A 17,205-nucleotide genomic window follows, 5' to 3' on the forward strand; every position below is an offset into this window, starting at 1 on the left:
GCAGTAACCATTAGTGCTGTGCTGGGGCGTGTTTGTCAGGAGGTTGTGCTTCAAAAGGTGGTAGAGAGAAGAATGGAGGAACAAGGAAAGGTACAGTAAGCTGCAGAGTGCTGTGTATCTGTCACTATCGAGGGGATGCCCTTTGCACCATGATTCTCACTTTAGTGGTGAGTTGAATCTTGGCCTCAAGGCATGTCATGGAGCTGTGGCCACTGTGGAAACAACACCAGCAGACAGCTTAGCCTGTATATGGATGGAGCGTCTCAGCAGGGAGAGGAACAGTTGAGCATCTACCTTCACAAGAGGGCTGCTTTTCTACATAGAGAGGACTGTTAGTCCAGCCTTAGGCTTTTCTGCTGTATCTAAACAGAGCAGCCCATTGGGGTCATGTTTGAAAACAGCAACAACAGAGTATCAAGTAGGTACAGAGGCTGAATTCCCTGAATTTCTGTGCAGAAGTTCACACCAGAGACCTGGACACTAGTTGGGGAGCTGGCCTGTGGAGACCAAGAGCTGCAACTTGAGAGTCATGAGTTCTGATTCGGGTCTGCACCTCTGCTTGGTTGAAGTGTTAAATGTGTCCAGAAGACTGTGTTTTCTCCTCTTTTTTCTGTAAAAAGTGCGTGAAATCTTGTCTGCTTGATTTCTTGTATGTCTTTTCGGGACCAGGGCAAGTACTTTTCGCATGACTGACATGGTAAGTAAAACCTGTATGGATCTTGGGAAGAGCTCTTGGTCTGAATGATTCAGTTTTTGCTATTTTGCTGTTGATTTGATTATTTATGTGAGAAAGATCTGTGCTGTTCCTGAAAATTTGCTAATAAATCCATTAAAATATCCCCCCCGCCGCCCCCCGTCAAAACACCCTAACAAGAAACTATCCTATTTTAGAGGGCACGTTTACTTTTTCCCATCTCTTATTTGAAATGTTCTTTTCAACATTCCCTGCTTTGCTTTTTTGAATATCATGTTTTAGTTTTTTATTTTTATTTTGGTTCACTGTGGCTTTGGTTTAATTACCCTTTTAAATGGAAACATGTAACTGCAGGCCCAGTCCATCATTTGTATTAGTTTTCAGCACTCTGAACTTGGGTGGGTTGGGCACGATTGTTTTAGTTGCTACCTGGATAAGACTGTTGAGATCTTAATCTCAGAGTCTTGAAGAATTCTGTTACTGAGGTAGCAGTGACTGTTTACTAAAGAAAATAACCTTCATTTTTTCTTCTTGACAGAGGTAAAAATTCAGAGAAGAATTTAAGAAGTCAGGGCAATAAGATTAATTTAAACAGTTATTTCTGTGTGTTTAGTATTGTCACTAGACTTAAAAAGACAATAAAAATTTTAACTGATAAAATTACAAATCATCCTTGTTTTCCTCATAGAGCATATCAAATTCAGAAGAAAGAAGCTATAAACTTTATATCTAGCATGCATTTTGACTTTTAAGAAAATCAGTTAAACTCTGTATCTCACCGTATTCTCTCTACAGTATATTGAAATAAAGCTATATGTTGATTTGCTCATTTCATTAGGATTATTATCCTGATGTTTTAAAAGGTTTTTAAAGCTCCTGAAGCAAGATGTTATAAAAATGCAAAAAACTTCATAACCAAAAAAGTCTGGGAAAGTTAGTTTGTATGCTAATAACACCTCATATTTGCATAGCTCTTTCATCCCTGCAAGACCACCTTTAACATCAGCTTAGTGGGCTCTCACAATGCTCCCGTTCGGTGGACATCATCAGTGGCCTCCATTTTGCAGGTGAAAAAGTTGAGGCCCATGTAAAATACACGTGGTCACACTAGACTTTGGCAAGGTTGGGCTTTGGACTCAGATCTGCTGGTTACTCTCCATGCCACTTGGGTACCTTCTCACATTTTATACGTGTAAATTGGGAAGGTAGCAATTCATTTCTCTCTCACTTCAAAAATGGAAACTCAGTATCATCAAAAGATAATCTTGGAGTGGCACTGTTTGAGGTGGTGAATTGTTTGCTAGTTGAGAAACCAAAGAGTTGTTTTTCTTCTGTGAAAGGAACTGAAGTTTAACGCCTTGATTGTGTGTTGCTGGCCCACTGTTACTTAGAAAAATTAACTGCTCCACTGCTTATTTTGATAAGGCAGAGCAGCTGTTTGTCCTTGAAGTTTCAAAAAATTATATTTATGCACTAAATTTATTTGGCAAGTCAGACCTGTTTGTTCCAATAAAGCAACAGTATCTCCCCTGGCCATTCTGGAAGCCACCTGTTGCTTTCAAGAGTTACATGGAAGGGGCTGCTCCTGAGATATTAAAGACTCTTCAGAATGTGGGGGCCACATACTGGAGCCATGTGACCCAGTGGGGAGCTGGTGCTGATGAGGTCAAGGTCTCAGGCTGTCCTCCTTTGTGTAGGGAGCTTTGCAGAGAGCAGGACTCCACTCCATAGTCCAAGTCTGCATCCTCGACTTGGGCAGTGCCCACACAAATGGGCAACTGTTGGCAAGGGCATCTATGTATGTCCATCCTGTCACCACCCCCTCACCGTCCTTAGCATATAGTCTTACCACTTGTGTCTTAGAGAAACCCTTTAGCCTTTGTCTTGAGACCTGTACACTGGTCCTCCTCTGTTAATTAACAGGCAGGGAGCTGCCTCTCCTCCAGTTGTCCCTGTACTCTGGATCGCATCCTCTCCCTCCTGTGTCTTTAACTTCTCTGTCTGTGCCGTGTTTCCCCCATCAGCCTGTAAGCATTCTCACGTTCTAAAAAACAAGAAAGGTAGCAGTAGCCTCTCTCTAGCCTTCTCAGCTCTCTCTTCAGCTACCTCCTAAACTCTCTTCTCCCTGTTTTCAGCTGTATCTAAAGAGTGTCTGTGATCTCTTTCTGCATTTGCTTTCCTTCCATTCACCCCTCCACCCTGCCCCGCTTGTGAAGATCATCAGGGCTGTCTGTGCCACACAGTGAATAGGTCTCCTTCTCTCATTCCATGCCTCATTCTGGACAACTTGTTCCATAGCCATAGCTGCAGTTACCCATGGATTCACTGGTGACTCTCACATTGATGTTTCCAGCTCAGATTTGCCCTCTGAGCCCAGACACTGCTGTCTGCTCTGCATCCCCTCTAGCATGCCCCCAGCCATCTCACTACAATGTATTCACATCCAACCTTCCCTGTCTTATCCTGCCCCCTCCTCCTATCTGGTCCTTTTCTGAAGTTATTTAGTTTGGCAGATGACACCACTATCCATTCTCCTTTATGGCCATTGAATCGGACTGGATGAAAGAGAGAGTATTTTTTTTAAGGAGTTGGCAAGGTTAAGAAATTACAGCAAGGTCTTCTTTCATAAGAGAGTGCATTTACCTTTTTGAAGAGAAATGATCAGTTCTGATAGGGGCTGCTATTAAAATTAAACAATTGCGTGATTTCCATGCATTTACCTTTTTCTAAGAGAAATGATCAGTTCTGATACATGCTGCTATTAAAATTAAACAAGTGCATGATTTCTATAGCAAGAACATGGGCTGAACTGAATTAAAGTGATTTAACTCTTAAGTGTAACTTTCTCTCTAAAATGCTTTGGGGCCAGGCACGGTGGCTCATGCCTGTAATCCCAGCACTTTAGGATGCCAAGGCAGGTAGATCACTGAAGGTCAGGGGTTTGAGACCAGCCTGGCCAACATGGTGAAACCCTGTCTCTATTAGAAATACAAAAGTTAGCTGGGCATGGTGATGCGTGCCTGTAATCCCAGCTACTCAGGAGGCTGAGGCAGGAGAATCGCTTGAACCCAGGAGGCAGAGGTTATAGTGAGCTGAGATCATGCCACTGCACTCCAGCCTGGTAAACAGAGCTACACTCCATCTCAAAAAAAAAAAAAAAAAAATGCAGTGCGTGTGTGTGTGTGTGTGTGTGTGTGTGTGBGCGCATGTGCATGCTTTGGAAGGAATCATACAAGTATGTAGGTGTTAGTCTGCCTCTACCCTCAACCTTCATTAATCTTTGAGTCTCTTACCATCATTTGCCATGCACTGGTTCATTTGAAATACAAAGCAAATGTAATTGGGATCTGGCTCAGAAGCATTTGTTTTTCGTAGGAAAGGTCTTATAAGTTAGGAATTGGGCATATTTGCATGCCAGAGAGGGACGATTTTTAAGTATTTTGAAAAGGAGTATTCAGGTGAAGCAATTATTTTCTTTTAAGGTTTAATTTCAACTGTGATCATCTTTAGACTGGGATATCAGTTCTTATCCTGGTATCCATGATTAATAATTTTTTCCCATTGACTTTTCTTGTTATTTTGAAGTTTATTTGAAAAAAATTATTTTTTATGCCAAAGATGTTACTAAGGTATTTTGCTGCAGGCGAATATTGGGTAGGATGCATTGATACTATGCGTGGTCTGTAAGTTGCTATGGGGGTGACTTTCATGTTATGGAACTGATTTAGTTCCTGTTCGACAGGCACTGAAACAGGCCTGTCCTGCCATGTGGTCACAGATATCTGTCTCTTATATTGGAAAAATACTAAGAAAGCAAAGTACACTGGAGCTCCTGCCCTTAAATTTTACTTTCATTGCTCAATATGATAAGGCACAAAAGCCCCTGTGCTGGTTTTACAGCAAGGTTCTTGCCAGTGAAAGTGTGGAATCGGTAGGAGTTCTGATGTGCCCAGCAGTGGGTGCTCAGATGTATGACAGGACAGAGCCCCAACGGTTCAGCAAAGTCATGTGTTATATGGTCAAGTGGGAGAAGTCACACCTAACTGGAGAAACCCTGTGAAGCTTTATTTTTGGGAAATGATCAGGTTGGTTTTGTGGCTGAGTGTAGAAGGAAAGGTTTGAAGCAGTTTCTGGAACATGGTATCATACACACTCAAGGTTGCTGACATTTCTTCTAATATTCTTAAGCAGGTTTTGGCAGACAGGTCCCTTCAGCCTGCACCTGGGTGAGCCCACTGGCATTCTTCATTACAATCACATGTTAGTTTTCGTTGATTATGTGCATGTGGAGACTATCAAAAAAATTCAGCTTTTGTGATCTTTTTTCAGAAGTACAGTGGCAATGGATATCTTTGAACTCTAACATTGTGATGGTAAGAAAACTTTAGTCCTGTGAAGGAGGAGCACCTAGATGTTGGGTAGCTAATCTGGCTTTGCTGTTTTGGTGAAAAAAGTCCCATGTGTTGTGGGAACTTGGAGCTTTCTACATCCCTGCTTAGTTTTGTCAAGTCTGCTGGCCAGTAATCCTGAAAAACATTTGATGCGTTGACTGCCCGCACAGTTGTCAATTTGGCCAGAGTCAGAAACATGAATTTCACTCCTTAACCTTTTCAAGAGATCTTGACAAAAAAAAAAAGCAAACTTTGGAGTTCATTTTGTTAACACTTACGTTTACTGGTTTTCTAGAGAACCGGTTTGGGGTATGTGTGTGTGGCGGGGGTGTGGAGAGAATGCTTGTGTTTTAAAAAAGGGAAAACTGTTTTCACAGGGAGGAGTTTACTGGTGGGTTGGCTTATTTGGTGGCTCTCAGCCCTTTGAATGAGGCCTGTCTTTCAATTCAAGGCTTTGCCATCAACATGATGTGTATGCTGCTGAAAAAGTAGGAATGCTTTTACCCAGCTGCCATCCTGGAAGCACAGCCTGGAAGCAGACAACCAAGTGCATCTGCTGGCCAGTCAGGAATTGATATGGTTTGGCTGTGTCCCCACCCAAATTTCATCTTGAATTGTAGTTCCCGTAATCCCTACATGTCATGGGAGGGACCTGGTGGGAGGTAATTGAATCATGGGGGCGGTTACCTCCATGCTGTTCTCATGATAGTGAGTGAGTTCTCATGAGATCTGATGGTTTTATAAGGGGCTTTCCCTCACCTTAGCTCTGTACTTCTCCTTGCTGCTGCCATGTAAAGAAGAATGTGTTTGCTTCCCCTTCTGCCATGATTGTAAGTTTCCTGAGGCCTTCCCAGCCCTGCAGAACTGTGAGTCAATTAAACCTCTTTCTTTTATGAATTATCTAGTCTCAGGTATTTCTTCATAGCAGCGTGGGAAAAGACTAATACAGGAATGGTACAGCTCTGGCAGTCTTTTTGCAAGCAGAAGCCTGTATACTCCAGGAGAAACTAGAGAATGCTTTTGAGGATTATTTTTGTTGTGACAGTCCCATTAAAATGTGGACTGAATCCTCTCCTTCATGACACAGACAGCATCAGTGGTGCTGTCCTTGCCACAGAAGGCCCCAGGGTGTGTGGGCACAGCGAGTGATGCAAGTGATGTAACCAGAAGAGGTTTTGGGGGATTTTCACACTTCTTTACACATGCTATCCTAGCCTGGCAGAGTGGTCTGTGATTCCCCACTCAGTACTACCTCTCTGTCTTTTATCCTTAAAAGAAAAACTGGAAGTCAAAGCTGATTGGCTGTCAAACACCAGGCTCCAGTTTCAACCTCTGTATCAAACCAAAATAGCAGCCTTCTAATGGAAATTTTCTTTTAGTATAAAATGTACTTTCTTTTTTATCTGTGCAATTTACATTCATTTTAATTTTTTGGAAAGCAGCCAGTTGATTTTTGCATTTAAATGAGAGTGAGAAGTATAATTATTTACACAAATTTAAAATTTTCTATGTAAAGGAAATAAATTTCCAATGATGAAATTGTATACCAAAAAATTAATTGCAAAATTTTGTAGGCATGTGCATATGTTTCTGAGAGGTTTTCATCAAATTTTCAAAGGGATCTGAAATTAAACAAACAGCCAAACAACTGATTCAGAGCAAGCTTCTGCTGTTGCAGCAGCTCTAGCTCACTGTTTAGACCTCCTCAGAATAGCGACAGCATACAGGGAGCCTATTAGTTGTGTACCCCAATCTTTGGTGAGCCTGGAGGGAGGTAATTGAGAGGGAGGCAGGGGCCCTGAAAATGGAGTAGGTGTTGATGAGTGCCCATAACTCTCCAGGCCCAGCCAGGGCACCATTAACCATCTTCTGCTTTGGCAAGAATAATCCAGATCCACCTGGAGAGGCTTTTGGGCTAGGGAGGACTTTATATGCAGCAGGACTGCATTAATGACTTTCAGGCCCTTTTCCTTTGTAGGCTCCTTCCTCCATAAAAAAAAAAAATTGAAAATTATATTTTATGACTGTGTTGGTCAGATCTGTTAATATTATATATTAAAACGTTTTATCTGAGCTAAAGGTCCTTTTTTCCCTTCTGATTTTAAAAGAAATTAAAACATTTGTGTGAGCCCCTAAAAATATTGTGGGGCTGTAAGCATTGTGCCTGTTGTACCCAGTGAATAAGTTGGCCCTGAGGTGTGCAGATCATCTCTTGATTTTTTTTCTAAAATGTATAAGGAAGATGTGGAATATACAAGCGAATATGTTCTTTTTACTCTCAATCTATTATTTTTGAATAAAGTTGAGAGAAGGCATTAAGCATATTATTAATTTACATTTCAAAGAAACAATTTTGAATTCGTTAATGTGGAACTTATATTTTTGATATAGATTTCTTGTATTGTTAATTTTTGCAAAGATAATAATTTTCAAAATTTTAATCAAATTTCAGTTTTTAAAACTAAAATTTTACTGTATTAATATCAGTAATGAATATTCTACAGAGTTTGAAAAGATTTACTCTTCTGAGTGTATTTGCAATGAAAAATATTTTAAGCATTCTTTCCAGTTTATTTTGTGAATATATGTAATACTTTTTACATAATAAATTATTTTCTAAAATAAAGCTTCATAAATTAGTTTTATGTAATAACTTGTATGTCTTTTCCTGATTCTGAGAAGTTTTCTATGAATTCTTTGAGTAAAAATCTATTTTAAAAGATAACAGGCAATAATTTGTGACTAGGAAATTTCAGAGTGGCCAGGAAAAACATGCTAAAAATAGAAACTGTTTGTTTACTCTGTGCTCCACCCAGTCTAAAACACAGCCATGTGGTTGCAGACTTGGGGAAGGCCCTGTGGTAACTTGGAAGGTGTTTTTTCCCCGCTGAGTTGCAGAGTTTAAGAGATCATTCTTATAACTTCTGAATCCTGTTTCCTTTCTTTAGCAACTCAGATAAATTATTTTTGCAAGCTGTTATCTGAAAATGAGTTTGACCATGTTCGTTTAGTTTTTAGTGTCTTATCATCCTCCTTTCTACTTATATATTTAATTTAAGCCCTGTTTCATGAAAGGAAATTTTGAGATTGGAGGTTTTACTAATAACTTATACCTCAAAATTTGTCAGTTTATAGTTTAAACTTTCCGGTGTTTTTCATGATAGTCTAAAAAAATAGCCACTTATTTGTTCATTTTGTTACAAAAGGGGCTAGATTATGAATTTAGTTCTTGGGTAGGCTTATCACCTAGGAACAACACAACTTTATAGGACTGAATGTTAACCAGACAAGCCTGTGATTTGTGTGCACAGATAACAGAAACCATAACCACCAGAAAGGCAGCCCAGTGATACCAGTGTTGGGTCAGCCACACATTTTATTAGTCAGATGCTTGGAGCACCTACCACTATTCAGGACTCCTTGCCCAAATGCTGTTGCTTTGTTAACTCTGTGCTAAGGTGTTAGGGCATTATGATGCCCAGTTCCCCAGAGCACTCCATTAGGGGCTTAGGCTTTGGAGTAAGCTGGCTGGTGTGAGTCAGACTGGGGGGTCACCTATTGGCCTTAGTTTCCTTATCTCTAAAATGTATATAATGATGAGATTAGTTTCATTGGGTTTTTGAGAGAATTAATTGAAGTCATGCAAGTAAAGCACAGCTTTCAATAATTATTAGCAATTTTTTTTTTGGTATTAACGTACAGCATAACAAAAGTCTAGATTTACTTCAGGAGTTGTGCCCTTGAAGTAGAATTTGGTTGTTTGCTTTACCTGCCTTCATAATGACTGCACGAAAGAAATAAATATCAATTCATTTCATTGTATTCAATTTGTTTTATTTCAAAACAAGTTAAATGAATCTTTAATTTTTTTTTATTCCAATGATATGTATTCATGTCAATATTTTATTCCAGATGATGTTTAAGCAAATATAAGTGAAAATACTGTGTGGGCTGATTTGATACTGTTTGTCATTCCTATTGTATGTTTGACTCCCTACCTCCCTTTCGTGGGTTTTCTGTCTCTCTATTTAAACTTTTTATTATGGGAAATGGACACAAATAGAGAGAATAGTATGATAAACTCTTATATACCCATCTCCCACCTTCAGCAGTTATCAGCTCATGGCTAATATTGTTTCCTCTGCATTCCTATCCACTTATCCCCATCCTGTGTTATTTTAAAGCAAATTCCAGACACCGTATTATCCATAAACATATTTTTACCATCCACAATATTATTATATCTGTAAAATAATAATAATTCCTCAATATCATCAACTATCAACAGTGTTCCAATTATTTTTAAGAGGCATAGCTTTAAAAAAATTAGTTTGTTTAATTTAGGGTCCAGTTAAGATCCCATACGTTTCAATGGTTGACGTGTCTCTTTTTTCTTTTAATGTACCCTAGTCAGTTCCTCATTGTCTGTGGGCAGGAGGATATAACATCCCTGGATTAGCTGAGAGCTATTAGTAGCTAACACTAAGGGCAGTTGCAGGGATTTGGACAGGGCACCCACCACATCCACTGCTTGGGGGAGGTGGTGGATAATCTTCAGGCACAGGGAACAGCATAAGCCGGGACCCGTGAATGCACAGCACAGCATGTTTGGTGGAGTGACAAAGGTTGGCAGTCTGGGAGGTGGGCAGCTCAGGTTGGGGTGTTGGGGATTGAGGCTGTGTTCCAGGTGGTTTATTATACATTTTTGGTGCTGGGCTTAAAAATAGCTTGTTTATTCAGATGAAGATGAAATTAATAAAAGTGTGATATGAGTAGAGACTATTGGAAATATATAATGTATCAACATACATTTATTTTCTGAAGATGTGTAATTTGGAAAATTATGGTAGTATGTGAGAAGCATCGTGACATCTTAAGTTAACTAGATATCTGGAACAAAGTATGCTTCAGCCTTCTTTCTATTTTTTCCCGTATTATAAAAGTAGTGTTAGTATATGATGACATCCCAGAGGGCAGACCATGGTTATCAGTGTGTCTCAGGAGTAATATAGAAGAGCTTATGTTATCTGCCTGCTGCACATATGTAAAAGAAATATTTTGCTTATTCAAGAGAGCAGTGTTTTAATGTTTTTTCTAGTACATTTAAAATATTTGAAATTGTTATCCTTGTTTTGAGTTTCAGTTCTTGGTGTGGTAACTTAAAATGTACACTCTCAATATACAGGTTTTTGCTGTTACTTAATAGCAAGGACCTGTGTTCAAATTTTAGCTCTGCCACTTACTGTTTGTTGAGCAGATTGCATATCTTCTTGTAGCTTCCTCATCTAGGAAAAGGAAATAATAATAGTGTTCCTACAGAGGACTGCTGTGCTGATTAAATGAGAGTGAATCTATTACATTTAGCACAGGGTTTGGCACACCAAAGCACCCAATGGTTTTAGATATCGCTATTTTTACTATTAGTGTTTTCTTATTAAATATATTTCAGGATCATTGATTTAAGGTACACTAAGCAGATAATGACTAAGGTATCAAGAGGATTGGGAACAAGAATATTAACTTGTATGTGTCCTGGGATTGAAATTTGCACACTGCAACCCAGATATTCTTTTATTAATATATTCTGTAACTTCCTTTCTATTCTATAACTGATATAATATTTCTCTGGAGTCCTATTTCTGTTCAGCAAAAGCCAGAGAGATATCAAAAATAATTCTGTCTTTTTTGGTTTAAAACAACCTCCATTAGCTTAAACGCCATCTTTTTTGAATAATTCAGAAATTTAAAGATCGGGATGGTTTCTTCCTACGTTAAAGGCTCTTCCCTTCCCATTCCTAGGAAACAATATTGGTCTGACTGATTACCATTATTGTTATTTGGCTATGGCCCACTATGATCACATCACACACACAGATTCTGCCTTCTGTCACCTTACCAAGATGAACTCGCCTGGATCCTGCCCAAAGCTGATCTCTCCATCCACACAAAAGATCTCAATCCTTCTTCCCTCCTCAGCTAATTCATAAGCAGCTCTCCCCACCTCTCCTGTAGCACCAGTTTTCACTCTCTACTGGATTATTCCCATCAGCATCAAACATTCTGAGATTTCTTTCATATTTTCTTGTTGCAACTTCTCCTGCTGGCTACTGCACAATTTCTTTGCCCCCTTTGCAGCAAAAACAATTTGAAGAGTTGTCAGTGCTCACTGTCTTCAATTCCTTGCTCCTGTTTTTTTTTAAAGCTGCTCCCTTCAGGTCCTCACTGTCACTTTTCTCCAAAGCCACTCTTGTCAAGGTCACCAATACCCTCCAAGTTCCTAAATCCCTCAAGTCAGTTTGCAGTCCTCCCCTTACTTCACCCGTCAGTAGTGTTTGGCATGGCTGATCATTCCCCTTCTTGGCACACTTACTTCGCTTGGCTTCCAGGGCTCCCTACTCTCCCAGTTCTCCTCCTGTCTCACGCATCAGTCTTTTCAGTCCCCTTTTCTGTTTGCTTCTCTTCTGTTTGCTTGCAGCATTGGAGTGATCCCAGCCTTCTTTCTATCTGTTCACACTATCCTGATATTCTCATCCCGTCTTGTGGCTTTAAGTGTCATTTATATGCCAACCACTCCCAAATATACATCTCTACCCCGACTCTCTTCTATGATCCAAGCATATATGTCCTACTAGATTTTTCCACTATATCCTACTAGATCTTTCACTTTTCATATCTGAAACACAACCCCCCCTTTTCCCCACCCAGCCTGCTCCATCTGTAGCCTTCTTTCTTAGTTTGATAATATCCTTTCAGTTGCTCAGGCCTTGGAGTCATCCTTGACTCCTTTCTTATCTCATGTACTACATCAAGTCTATCAACAAACACTTTGGTTTTATCTTCGAGATATAACTAGTGATAGTGTGCTGTAAGTATTATTCCCAATGTAGAATTTGTAATGGGGCCAGGCACGGTGGCTCACCCTGTAATCCCAGCACTTTGGGAGGCGAAGGTGGGTGGATCACTTGAGGCCAGGAGTTCGAGACCAACCTGGCCAACATGGTGAAACCCCATCTCAACCCAAAATACAAAAATTAGCTGGGCGTGGTGGCATGTGCCTATAATCCCAGCTACTCCGGAGGCTGAGGCAGGAGAATCACTTGAACCCGGGGGGCGGAGGTTGTAGTGAGCCGAGATAGCGCCACTGTATTCCAGCCTGGGCCACAGAGCAAGACTCTGTCTCAAAAAAAAAAAAAAAAAAAAAGTAATGAGCACAGCTCTGATTTGAATACAGGTCTGTCAGGCTCCAAAGTTTTCTCCATAGTTTTGCATTAATATATTCTTAATTTTATATTTGCAAAGTTATTTTTATTTTAATATCATAGCTTAGTGGGAGAGTAGGGACACTATTTAAAACTAAGGAGCAGACAAAGAATACTCCAGAGTATCTTTAGAATTTACTTAGTTTGTCTCCCTAGTTCTAGGAAATCTGAATCTAACTCATATATTAGATTATATTTTCTTTGGAACAAACCCAGATCTTTAAGAAAGAGGAGTTCAGTGCCTCCTTTCCCAATTAGCTAATCATCTATAAGCTTCACTTTTGTCATACAAAGGTGCTGGACTCCCAGAGTTCATGCAGTCACAACTCAAATGGTGAAGAGGAAACCTGAACTGTCTCTAGTTATTTTTAGGTGTTCCTGATAATCAATTTTCATGCAAAATACAAATGATCATTTATTTGTCCCTTTGTTTTCATGAATACAGGCTGAGCATCTGTAATTCAAATATCCAAAATGTTCCAAAATCTGAAACTTTTTGGGTACCAACATGATACCACAAGTGGAAAATTCCATACCCTAACAGCACCTTTGCTTTCAGTGTACATAAACTTTGTTTCGTACACAAAATTATTAACAATATTGTATAAAATTACCTTCAGGCTATATGTATAAGATGTATATGAAACATAAATGAATTTCTTGTATAGACTTGGATTCTATCCCTAAGATGTCTCATTAGGTATATGCAAATATTCCAAAATCCCAAAAAAATCTGAAACGCTTCTGGTTCCAAGCATTCCAGAGAAGGGATACTTAATATGTAGTAGTATATGGATGCCTTGCCTCATAGTCACCCTCCCCAGTGGTTTAATGCAACCATTAAATTATTTTTGTTTTAAAATATTTGATCTGGGTTTGAATTTATGGAAATACTTCACGTCAGTTTTTTTTTTTAAATAGCCAAATAGTGTTTCAAAATTTTATCAAGATTGTGATTGGTCTTTAACCTTAGAAGCAAAACTGACATGGAAGGATGAAACAAGTAGGTAGAATGGTGAATTTTGGTATTCATGTGTTTGGACATCTGTGTCCTTATCAAAAGAAAGAATGTATATAGTTGGACAAAATTGAAGGTCCATGTGGTATATTTAGAAAATATTACTTGTTAGTGGTTTAACATGTGTATAGTGGTTTTACTTCAAGCACTTTCAAAGATTTGAGTTTGTTTCTGCCCTTGTAACACTTCAACAGTCATATTAGTTTGCTTTACCATTTTTCTTTGAAGGGAACTGAGACTGATTCAGTTGTGCAAGGTGATGAGCAACATTGCTCAAAAAGCCAGAAATAGATTTGTGGGCTTCTGACTGTGAGACCAGGTGCTCTCTCCACTGAATTATTCTGCTTTCTTTGACTGTTTTCTTTGCTTTAAAAAATATTAATGCACAATTCTGAATTGCTGTTGACTGTGAGATAAATTCATGTTAGATCTATAAATAATGCACTTTCCAACCAAACCAGCCAATGGAACAAAACGCTTTTTGAGACATTGGTGTTGGAAGATGGCCTCCTCCCACCAGCTGACTGTATTCTCATCATCCCCCACATCTGTCCCATTGTTTCTGATGCTGGTACCAGGCTCCTGTCTCCAACACATGCTTAGATAATTACAAGAATTAACCTCCCTTCCTTCTGTTCTTCTCCCTTTCCCCCAAATCCTTTTTCACAGTTTCCAGATTAGTTCTCCTACAGCACTACTTTGTGAAATTCTCTCAACATGTTCTATGATACCCTTTGCTCTGAGGCTGAAGCCCTAACCTTCCTCTTGGTTTCCAGGACCTCCCATGTATCATCAGTACTACTCTAGCATCTTCTTCTGCTTCTCACCAACCTCCGTCTTGGCCAGACTGGGCCTCGCAAACTGACATTACTTCACCTCTCTTGTAGTCTTGTAATCTGTACCCTATTCCAGAATTACTCTCCCTCTCCTTTTGGTTAGCAAGCCCAGCTTTCCTCTAGGGACTTTTCTTACCCATTCGCTGGAAATTTGGTTGTAGGTGTGCCCTGTATCTTTTATCTAGTAAGACTCTTCTGTGGGTTTACTAATTTTCATTTAGAAAGAGGATCACTACCTAATGATGTAAGGTGTGGTGTAAAATTTTTCTCAATTATATTTTCAGATTATTGCTGGGATTCTGTTATGATTAGTAAGCAAACGAATTAATATTTTAATGGTTGACTGCCTTCTGATATGTTTACCTCAAATTATATCATTTTAAATTATAGATTTAAATTTTAAGAAAAACAAATATTTACATTTAGTCAAAGATTTTGTGAAATGACCTTGTTTTGAGAAAGAGAAATGAAGTCCAATTACTGAATAGAATATGAATATATAAATATATTTATGTATGTGTATATATGTAAAAAATAGCTGTCATGTAGTCATTATTTTTGTGACAGTGTATTGCTAAAAAGATCTTCATAATAATTTTGAATAGAACACTGGGGGTGCTAGATTTAGAAATTAATGATTTTATGGAAGAAAGATCTGCCTGTAAATTTTGCTCCTATTATGAATAAAAGGGAGACCCTTATTTCAGATTATCGAAATACAGGGACTGTAGCATTAATGTAACACCCACTATAATGTGTTTCTTTTAAAAATGTTTTCTTCAACACCCTGTGATATATGACTTGCCAGATTCTCTGATCCTGGGGCCCTTTAGCAGCCATGCTATGTGTTGTCATAATGTTTTAAATTTGTGGCTCTAAAATGCAATTCAGTTGTGTTTAGCCAGTGTTGATCTTTTTCTTTCTTCTTAATTTGGGACTTTCAGTGTATGCCATTACTTATGAGAAGTGCTTTAGTTATGAGTTGTGGAGAGAGAAAGTAGTTGGAGAGAAAATTAAGGTAACTCTAACATAGATCTTAATATAGTCTATAAAGTTTTCATGAGGATAATACAGTGAGTTTTATATGTGGAGAAATATATAGAACAGTGAGTGGAGGAATTAGGGAGCAACATATTCAATTTAATTGTCTTAAACACTAATATGATCTAAGAGAAAGATCATAAGAAAGTTGTCAAGTTTTCTAAAAGAAAGAAAGTTTTCAAAAGATGTATTTCTCAAATTCATCTGTCATTAAAATTAGTATGTTGAATTGGATTCTCAGCTTATAAATTAAAATATAAGTGTTCTTACATGATAAACTGAATTTAAATTTCCAGGTTTTTTTTTTTCTCTTGGTGGTCCAATTTCATTGTATTAAAATATGTAGGTATCTATCTTTTTGCGTAGATTTGGTAAACTTTGGTTTTCATGAAGTTAAAATGAATGATTAAAAATTTGTATAGAATTTGTTAGCGTCTTCTTGTTACAGGATTTAGGGGGTATGTGTGATTTAAAGATTAATTCATAAAATATTTCTTTATTTATTTTATGTATTTTTTATTGTTTTTAGAGACAGGGTCTCACTCTGTCACCCAGGCTGGAGTGCAGTGGCATGAACATAGCAGCCTCAGCCTCCTAGACTCAAGTGACCCTCCCTCCTCAGCCTCCTGAGTTGCTGAGACATACAGTCAAATGCCACAATGTCCAGCTAATTTTTAAATTTTTCTGTAGACAAGAGATCTTGCAGTGTTGCCCAGGCTGGTCTTGAACACCTATCCTCAAGTGATCCTTCCACCTCAGCTACCCAAAGTGCTGGGATTATAGGCATGAGCCACTGCCTCTGGCCTAAAATATTTGTATAAATTGAAAGACAATACTTTTGAGTTTAAGGAAATGAAGATTTGATCTGCTTTAAAGCTGTCTTAGTAGACGGATGTTGGAACAAATCAATTAAAACATATCTTTTATAATGTGGTAAAACAAAATTAACATAAGCTGAGCAATGCATAACATTAGTGAACATTCTTCTCGCTATGAGGTTCATGCTTTTGATAAAGGTCTAGAAGTTGCTTCAGACGTCATTGAAATTTTTATATTTATTCTCACCTTGCCTATTTATTTATTTACCTTGCAGTCTTTTTTATTTTTAAGGTGAGAGATTCTGGGTACTAATATACACACATTCACTGTACACTGATATTTAGCCAAACCATGAAATAGAAAAAGCTGGCATATATTTACTGTTAGAATCTTTGAAATTTTTCAGTGTATATTTCCTGTTATAGTTATTCATGCTCCATAATTCATGGGTTTTCTTGGCACTGGCAACAGTTACTTCCCTGTGGTTTAGATATATTTTTTTGTAGTATAGGTAGGTTTCTTTGCTGCTCTCATATTTTTCCTTTTAATTTTATTATTTTTTTCCTCTTCTTATTCAGATAGTGTTTCATCTCTGTCATTAGGAAACTACTTCTCATTGATTTATTCTGTTTATGCAGTTTTTCCTTCCAAATTCATCAACTGAACTATGGGAAACTTTGTTTCTTAAAAGGTTATTTTGACATTATTTGGGTCAGGCCAGGTTTCACATAGGGAAAAGGACAATGCTTCTGCTTTGCCTTCCCATCCACCACTAACAGCTTTGTGAAAGGAGAGAGAAGTAGAAGGAAAGGATAGAGAGAGAAGGAGGGACGCCTCATTCAGCTTACATTTCAGAAGCAGGGAATGCAATAAATAACATGAAGAAAGTCCAGGCTCAACTCGCTCACACCTCAGGAGGTGATTCACGAGCATGTAACACAGCCTGCTAAGGTTTCCATTATTCATAATTAATTAAATCAAAGCATGCTTAGTAAGGGCCCATAATCTTAAAAAGCATTCTGTGTTTTCATCTGACTAAAAGTTTTTCCTTCGCTTGTTGCAGACGACAGCCGACTTTAATATTATAGCACCAGCACGGTACAGTTGACTCAGTAAACCTGCCACACTGTGGAACAGAGGTTTGGGG

The 17,205-nt window shown here is 38.5% G+C and overlaps 1 protein-coding gene across 4 annotated transcripts in view, besides 1 other annotated feature; it reads left to right on the plus strand.

The window, feature by feature from the left end:
* PLCL2 (phospholipase C like 2) overlaps positions 1-17,205 on the plus strand; it is a 205,652-nt gene that overhangs the window by 14,033 nt on the left and 174,414 nt on the right. For 2 of the 4 annotated variants that reach the window (XM_017006025.2, XM_006713073.4), the window contains exon 1: positions 1-697. The exons of 1 other annotated variant lie outside the window; for it this stretch is intronic. Coding sequence is in view for 1 of the 3 variants with exons in the window: in XM_006713073.4 (XP_006713136.1) it covers positions 686-697 (12 nt within the window). In the remaining 2 variants the exon portion in view is untranslated. One more of the 4 variants, XM_047447799.1, reaches the window with a different exon arrangement.
* Positions 13,637-13,866: an enhancer, noted in NCBI's record as "active region_19557". NCBI's record gives its function as "activates an Ori minimal core promoter by ATAC-STARR-seq in GM12878 lymphoblastoid cells {active_cell/tissue: GM12878}" and the evidence as "EXISTENCE:reporter gene assay evidence [ECO:0000049][PMID:35858748]".

This window comes from Homo sapiens, chromosome 3, assembly GCF_000001405.40.
Source record: "Homo sapiens chromosome 3, GRCh38.p14 Primary Assembly".
NCBI lineage: Eukaryota > Metazoa > Chordata > Mammalia > Primates > Hominidae > Homo > Homo sapiens.